At 52.7% G+C, this 8,334-nt stretch overlaps 3 annotated features.

Annotated features, from left to right (window-relative positions):
* Nucleotides 2,172-2,703: an enhancer, noted in NCBI's record as "H3K27ac-H3K4me1 hESC enhancer chr14:76578893-76579424 (GRCh37/hg19 assembly coordinates)". NCBI's record gives its function as "activates a minimal SCP1, AML or CMV promoter by ChIP-STARR-seq in primed H9 embryonic stem cells {active_cell/tissue: H9 hESC(primed)}" and the evidence as "EXISTENCE:reporter gene assay evidence [ECO:0000049][PMID:30033119]".
* Nucleotides 4,462-4,963: an enhancer, noted in NCBI's record as "OCT4-NANOG hESC enhancer chr14:76581183-76581684 (GRCh37/hg19 assembly coordinates)". NCBI's record gives its function as "activates a minimal SCP1, AML or CMV promoter by ChIP-STARR-seq in naive H9 embryonic stem cells {active_cell/tissue: H9 hESC(naive)}" and the evidence as "EXISTENCE:reporter gene assay evidence [ECO:0000049][PMID:30033119]".
* Nucleotides 5,944-6,770: an enhancer, noted in NCBI's record as "H3K27ac-H3K4me1 hESC enhancer chr14:76582665-76583491 (GRCh37/hg19 assembly coordinates)". NCBI's record gives its function as "activates a minimal SCP1, AML or CMV promoter by ChIP-STARR-seq in naive H9 embryonic stem cells {active_cell/tissue: H9 hESC(naive)}" and the evidence as "EXISTENCE:reporter gene assay evidence [ECO:0000049][PMID:30033119]".

The following is an 8,334-nucleotide window of genomic DNA, read 5'->3' on the forward strand; positions in this document are numbered from 1 at the left end:
TGGAAAAGCCCTGGATTCAGAGCCCGAACGCCTGGGTACTAAGTTAGTCCTTCCTTTTAACTAACTGTGTGGCCTTGGGCTAGTATCCACTTAGCTGCCCTGAAAGCTAAGTGAATATAATCTAAGTAATACACATTTGTAAACAATTTTGCTGCAGTGAGAATCAGTAACGAGCTAATGCATGCGAATGAGCTCAGAAGACTATCCAGTGCTGTGAAGTGGGGAGTGGGCCGGGCCTCCACTGTGTTTCTGCCTACCGCAGCCAGTGGGTCTGCTTTCACCAGGCATGGTATGGCCTGTGGCCTTAGTGTGTGCAGCAGGCATTCCAGCCATTCACCCATATCCCATCCCTCTCTCTTTCCTGGCATATGGGAAGATAGTCTTTCTCCAGCCCCTCGAAGTTAGGCAGGTCCTGTGATTAGTTCCAGCCGGTGGGTTGTGGGTAGAAGTGCTCAGGTGGCTCCCATGCTGGTGTCTTTATTTGCTGATGTGAGGCCCTCCAGCTCTGCTCCTCGACAGCTGGCCATCACAGACTTGTGGTCAAGATGGAGTGCTATCAGCTGGGGTCTCTGGGTAACCACAGTGGACAGACCCTCCTTGGATTGGCCTTGGGGCCTGAACATAAATGAATGGTGACTGTTTTAAGCCACTGAGATTTGGAGGCTGTTTGTTATGACAGTGCCACTTAGCCTAACCTAACTGATCCAGTGCTCCATCAGCAAAGTTCTTCAGCTTTGGGGTTCAGGGACCAACTGCCTCAGATACTCCTGGAGGAGCCTTGTTAAAATGCAGATTCCAGCCGTGCGCAGTGGCTGACGCCTGTAATCCCAGCACTTTGGGAGGCCAGGGCGGGCCGATCATTTGAGATCAGGAGTTCGAGACCAGCCTGGCCAACGTGGTAAAACCCTGTTTCTACTAAAAACAAAAATTAACCGGGTGTGGTGGTGGGTGCTTGTAATCCCAGCTACCCGGGATGCTAAGGCAGGAGATTCGCTTGTAGTGAGCCGAGATTGCACCGCTGCACTCCAGCCTGGGCAACAGAGCCAGACTCAGTCTCAAAAAATGCAGATTCCCAGTCCCAACCTAGCTGCTGCTGAGTCAGAATGGCCAGGGGGTGAAGCCCTGGGATCTGCAATTCTAAAAATAGTAACTATTAATGATGGCAGTGGCTGCTGCCATCACACCCAGCTGCGTGGCTGGGGCTGTGCACTCCATGGAGCTGGTGGGAACCCCACTCCTTCTGAGTTGGGACAGTAGGTCCCCGTGGTGCTGCAGCCGCCCAAACTGCTACTGCAGACCCAGGCCTCCTGCTCTATGGAGCAGGCAGGAGCCCCGCCCTACTGGGTGGGGCTATAGCTGCCCAAACTGCAGCTGTGGATCTGAGCCTCCCTCCGTGTGCTCTTGGGGGAGCTGGGAACAGGCAGGATCTGCCTTCCTGGGTGCAGTGGTGGTGGCTGCAGACCTGGGCCTCCTGCTCTAGGAAGCAGGCAGGGGCCAGGGACAAGTGGGAGCCCTGCCCCTTCCAAGTTGGTGGGGCAGGAGCTCCAGGGCCCAGCTGTGGCCACCCTGCCAGGTGCAGGACCCAGGTGTACCCTGGGGGCTCCAGGAAGGACCCTCCCAATCCCTGCAGGCTCAGGGATGTCTTTTCCTGCGGCTTGGCCTCTCTCCACTCCTGGCCCCTGCTCCATTCTTGGAGCAGGGGTTTGGGCCAAGCCTGGGGGGCCATGAATGGCAGCGGGAGGCAGATTGATTCCTGGGTGGAAGGGGATGGGTCCCCAATAAGGCCCCACCTTCAGGCCAGGGAGGGCCTGAAGCCTGGGAGCCGGGCTGCCGACTTCCCGAGGACTGCAGTGGGGGCTCGTGGTGCCTCTTCTGGCCCACTCGTGGCCATCAGTGGACCAACTGGCACATACTTCCTCCCCTCTGAGGTCCATAAAAGCCCTGGGCTCAGCCAGAGCAGGGCAGGCGTTGGCCAGAGGATGAAGAGGGCAGAGAGATGACGGGATGGGTTGGCCAGCTGCAGAGAGGGATACCCTCCCCAATGAGAGCTGCAGGGACAACCCACCAGCAGAGAGGAGCTACCCTCTCTGCTGAGAGCTTCAGAGACCTTCAGAGACATCCAAATGACTTGCCTTCAGAGAGGAGCCACCCTCTCCAGAGCCTTCTCTCTGCTAAGAGCTGAACACTTGACTGGACAACCTGCCTACAGAAAGGAGCTACCCACTCCTCTGAGCTGTTCTAACACTACATAAAACTCTTCTTCACCCTTCGTTTGTCTGCGCATCATCTCATTCTTCCTGGACACAGGACAAGAACTCGGGCAAAGGCGCCACAGCCCCAGAGGTTTCCTGTCAGAAAAATCGACACCCCAGAGATCCCATAACATTAATATATCTTCGGAGGTAGCAGACATATATAGACCCCAGGCCTTGGGAGGGTGGGGGCCTTGGCTCCCTCCTCTTCCTCATCTGCTTCCTCTGCTCTGTGGTCTAGCATGGGCTCTTCAGGGGCTCACCTCCTGAGAGGCCCCTGCCCCAGGTGACGATCACAGTGCTCTACCCCTCGCTCCTGCCTCCTCATCTCTGCCACCTTGTGATGCAGCACGTCCCCCGGGCCTGGAGCTGGGGGAAGGGCTCACAGAGTGGTCTTGTAGCAAGAGCGATAGAAACCCTGCATGATGGATTGAAGGAGACGAGACCATTCCTGGCTGATGGCTGACGTGCATCGGCAGTGACAGGCGACGATGTTTGTGCTCTGAACCTGCAATCTTAGCTAATGGGAAAGATTGAGGGGTTCGAAATGAGACATGTCGTGTGCTGCAGCCCCACGGGCAGAGATGCTGCTGGCAGGGAAGAGCACAGCTTTCTTGCTTCCCGAGGGAGGGGCTGCGGGACACATTCCCGCCCAGGTCCCCAGGCAGGTACGCAGATGCCTCAGGCTCGTTGGGAGCTGACTTTTTCCAGCAGGTTCTTGGCTGCTCCCTGGCTGTCTGGGATCATGTCGGAGGCCCAGACTGGGGAGCTGCAGGAGAGGGCAGCAAGAGAGTCTTTCTCCTGGGGGCATCCTGAGTGGCTGCCTTCCCAGCGCCTCCCATAAGGGGCTGCAGTACCCAAATGAGCTGGGGTCCTTCCGCCCTTATTCTTGTTCTATCCCCAAGGGAGCTTCAGGGGACTTCCAGGGAGTAGCCTGAGGGAGGAGACAGCAAACAATGGAAGCAAAAGCTTAGAATCCGAGACTCAGCTCATATAACACTGCCAGCGCTTCTTTTGGTTTGGAAGCCATACTGCCCTGGGTTTGAATGCCAGTTCTCCCAACACAGCCATTTCCTGCCTGTGTGATCTCTGACAACCATTTCTACCTCTCTGGGTCTGTTTTGTCAGTTGTAAAATCTGAAGGAAAGAAAACCACTTCCTGGGAATGTTGAACTAAGGACTGATAGAAACAAGCAGGAAAGCCGTGCTTCTCAAACCTCACCATGCATGCGAATCAACAGGAATCTTGTTTAAAATGCAGATTCTGACTCAACAGGTCTTGGGTGGAGCCTGAGGTCCTGCATTTCTAATGAGCTCCCAGGTGATGTCGACGCTGCTGGTCCGCTGGTCCGTGAATCTCAATTCTAGCAACAAAGAATGTACAAGATCATAGCAGATACCTGGTTCGTAGGGGGTACTCAACAGGCAGTGCCTTTGTTATTATTATCAAGGTCGTCAATGCAATGTAGGTGAGACTGTCTCTTTCTTGACCACAGCCCATATCCTCCTTCAAAACTGTGTCGTTCAAGGTTTCCCTTGAAGCCACTGGAACACAAATGTTGGAGGGGCCCAAAGTGAGGGCCATCACAGATGGCCCAGTGGCCAAATCGTCTATTGGACATCTCTAGAAGCAGACATTGCTCCCGCTGACCCAGGGTCCAATGGGCCCAGTTGTTTGGGCTCTCATCTGGGAAGCTGGGATGGCAGTGGTGTTGCCCAGCCACTTCACCACTCCATACATCACAGCTGCCTGAAGGTACAACAGAGGTCACTAGAGTCCCTATCCCTCATCCCAAATGGAGCCACTTGCTCTTCTGTTTTCTCATGGGAGGGAACCCTAGGGGATCAGGAGCAAGCTCCTCCAGCAGCAGCAGAAGCAGCATGGCTCATGGTTACCATCTTGAGACCTTGGGCAACTCGTGAACTATTTCAGGGCCTCAGTTTCCTCATCTGTAAAGTGGGGCAATACTCTATCACCCTAATGTGAGCATGAAATGAGATAATGGACATAAAATCCTTCTCACACTGTGTGCGCCAACTGTGCATCATTCGATGATTATTAGAGTGTCTCCACCACGTGTCTCCTGCCTCCTCATCACCTAGCCACAAAGGCTGGTGCTGGAGCCACCTGAGCTGTGATGAAATTGTGTGTTTGAGCTGGTCCTGTGCTGACTTGGAGCTGAGAGCTTCATGTGGTTTGGGGTCAAGTTAAGTGTAGCAGAAGTACAAAGCCAGAGGAACCAGAGCTGTGGCTCATGAGAAGGGTGAGCCCCTCCTGAGAAATTGTGGGGAAGGACGAAGGAGGGAAGAAGAGGAAGAGGACAAGGGGAATGGCGAATGCAGTTCCATCTTCCGTCACAGGCTGACCTGTCCATGGGTATGGGATGTCTGGGGAGGGCCCAGCCTGCTGGGTAAGGCTGCAGGGTGTGTGGTGGCTGCAGCAGAGATGCAGAGAGATGTCGGAGCTTTGTCATTCAGATTGCCCACACCAGCAACTCCAAAACCCTCTCTGGGGACACTTCCTGGAGGCTTAACTGTTCCAAACCCCTTCATTCCATTTGCTCTTGTGCAGGGGCAATGGGTGAACTCAGCCCCTTCAGGAAAGAGCCTGCTTATGAATCAGCAAATGCCTTAGTGGAAGAGCAGATCTAAATGTCAGGCTCACCCCTCTGTGCTTCCTTTTTCTCTGGGGCCTTGGCCCTTCCAGTCCTTGCTCCTATAGTAGCTCTCTGCTGCCTTCAAGTGGGTGTTGCTTTTTGTTTTCGGGTTTTCTTTTCTTTTTTTTTTTTTTTAACTTTGACAAAATACACAACACAAAATTTATCATCTTACCCATTTTTAAGTGTACAATTCAGTTATATTAAGTGTATTCACATTGTTGTGCAACCAGTCTCCAGGACTTTTTCATCTTGCAAAGCAGAAACTCTGTAAATTTGACTACTATACATATCTCATATACTCTAATAATACAGTATTGTATTTATCTTTTTGTGACTGGCTTGTTTCACTTAGCCCAATATCCTTAAGGTTTATCCATGTTGCATATTTTCTGGTTTTAGATCCAGCTTTACTAGTTTCTCCTGGAGGCTTGGTTGGCCAGATACAAGCTAGTGATCACAGCTGGAAGCAGAAGTCCAGCCCCGATGGGCCAGGTAGGTGTGGGACTAGCTCCCCTGACATTGCGCCCATCACGTGCTAGGAGGTCAGTGTGAGAGCATCCCTCTCACTCAACAGCTTCAGTTTTAAGCAATAATTTCCGAGAATACCAGGCTAATGAACTCAACAGGTTGCAGGTTATAGGTGGGGCTCATGAGGTCAAGTTCATGCATTTGCTACCTCCAAGGACAGTGTTATGTACTGATGGGGAACTTGGGCTCTAGGGTCAGATGGCCTGGGTGTAAATCCTGGTGCTATTAATTACTCTCTATGTGGCCTTAGGCAAAGTGCCTAACTTGCCTGAGTTCCTTTATAAAATGGAAATTGTAATAGGGCTGATGTGGGCATTAGATGACATGACCTCTTTAAAGAACATAGCCCAGGTTTGGCACAGAGGAAGTGCTTACTGACAGCTTGAAATCAGAGATTTTATTAGCATTTCGTGGGTCAAAAACCTCCTCTTCCTGGCTTCTGATGTTGCCCAGCATGGACTGAGATGAGCAAGATGTGCCTTGGGGTTGTTATCCAGCTAGTCTGGTGTTTTTCAATTTTTACATATTTTTAAGCAGCAGCACCCTTTGAGAAATTCTTTTGCATAGCTCCAGTGTTGTGTTGGAAAAGGAGAGTTGCACAACTGGGGAGCAAGGAGCCCAGTCCTGTCCCCATCGCATATGCATGCATGCACACACACACACACATGCGTGTGCACACGCACACACGCACGCACACGCACAGACACACTCTGCCTCCTCAGACAGGAATTCTGGAAAGCTCTGGGTTCCATGGAGGGAGCTGGAAACCATTGCCTTGTGGGAGGCCCCTCCTCATGGAGAGTCCTGAAGAATCTCTGGCTCCCTGTGAACAAGGAAACTCCACGTTTGGACACACTCACTGGGCTCCGGGAAGGCAGGGCAGGGCCTCTGCCTGAAGAGGCCTCAGCAGCATCATGGGCAGGCTGGGCAGCCAGAGGCCTGAATCGAAGCCAAAAGGAAAGCAGGCCATGGGACCCCCATGTCCCTTCATCTTGAGTCCTCACAAAACACCTTTTCTCACTTCCAGAGAGGAAACATACCTTCAAAAGCAGGTCTCTGACGGTGAGTCTCAGGTCACCTGCCTGAGCTGAGGACAGTGTGTTTGTTTCTAGCATCGCGACGGAGCCAGCCAGATAAAGGGGTTTGTCAGATGTGGGTGGATGAACGTGTGTGTGCCTGGGCAGGTATCTGTGGGCACTGTGTGTCTGTCTGTGCATGTGCGTGTGTGCACCCGTGCATGTGTACGTCCATGCATTGTGTGCATGTCTACATGTGTATGTGTTTGTGTGTGTATGTGTATGTATCTGTGCGTGAGTATGGGTGTTTGTGTGTGAATCTCAGACTTCTCAGAAAGGCCCTCTCACGTCATCAGGTTCCCCTGCAAGACTTTTTGTGAATTCACTAATTCACCCACTCATCCATTTGTACCCTCCTTCCATGGACTAAATAAGGAATCACAAAATGATGAATTGTAATTTTGTTAAATGCCATGGTGTCTTGAGACCATATAATGGGGGCACCTAATTGCCCATTACTTTATGTCACAAACACACAAGGTCTCTAGGGACCGTGTCTCCCAGATCGCCAATACCATCGAGTGCATCATCACCTTGTTCCTGGCACTTCCCCGTGCACCTCTGCCTGCGCTCTCTGAGTTCTAGGACCTTGCCCTCACACACACCTGCCTGCATTTATGCATATAACCTATGGCACTGGGCCACCCTCGAGGGCATGGCAGCACGAGGGGCCTTGTTCATCTTCCTGCTATTTTGCCACATCAGGCATACATGAGTCCCATCAGAGCATTCCTGTGTCAACTCCAGACGTGTGTGTGTGTCTGGATAGGTGTGTATGTGCCTCTTGGATATGGGTAGTTATGTTCTTGGTCTGAGGACTGGGGGGATACTGAGGTCCTTCTGGAGAGTGGTGTGAGCAACTCCAGGTGTGTGGGTATGTCTCTGAGCATGCCCTGGGCCTTGAATCATTCCCAGCCCATCACCAGAACCCTCCACTGTGTTGTCCTGCCAGTAATTACAGCAGATAAACTGCTCCAGTTGAGGGCTGCTGTCCCCGGCTGGCTGCCAGCCATGCGGCCCCAGGCTGCGCCGTGGGAGTCCATTCATTTTAATAAGAGGTACACCCTGTGTTATTAAGAAGAGTGTTTATTACTGTCGCCACACACTGACAGCAACTTCCATCATCGTTAAACGGCAGATGCGGGGAGGGTAGGGGGGCTGTGCACTGCAGCTTTGCAGAGGCACAGGCCCAGCTGGTGAGGCTGAGGAGGGAGGGGTTGTCTGTCTCCCTCTCTTACCGCAGAACTGCATGGCACCCCCTTTCCCAGACAGAATTGAGCTTCTGCTGAGCCTGACCCTGTTCGAGGTGGGGGTTGGGGCCAGCAAAGGGATGCAGGAGGGGACTCTGCTCGACATCTGAGTGCTGTCCCGGAGAGGGCGAGGGAGTCCGGGGTTGGAGCTTGCTTCCCTGGGCCTGCTGGCCCTACTTCTCCTGATGTCACCGGAGGCAGGCCAGACTTTTATTCTGCCTGGAATGTTCTGTCCTCCCTAGGGATCTTGCAGTTGCAGCTCAATCTAAAGTAGCACCACACCTGCCCCAACCAGCCTTGGGTTGGTCGAGGTTGCAGTGAGCTGAACTGAGATCACACCATTGCACTCCAGCCTGGGTGACAGAGTGAGACCCTGTCTCAAAAAAAAAAAAAAAAAAAAAAAGTCAAGCCCAAACCTGGGTGGTGGGGGTCCCTTCCCCTATCTAGGGCACACGTGGATGCCAACCAGCCAAGGCTGATTGGTTCTTTCCATCCCACTGAGGGAAGCTCCATGAAGAAGGGTGCCAATTCAGTCTCACTCACTGCTCTGTCTCAAGCACAGAGAACA

The sequence above is a fragment of the Homo sapiens genome, chromosome 14 (genome assembly GCF_000001405.40).
Source record: "Homo sapiens chromosome 14, GRCh38.p14 Primary Assembly".
In the NCBI taxonomy this organism is placed as follows: Eukaryota; Metazoa; Chordata; class Mammalia; order Primates; family Hominidae; genus Homo; species Homo sapiens.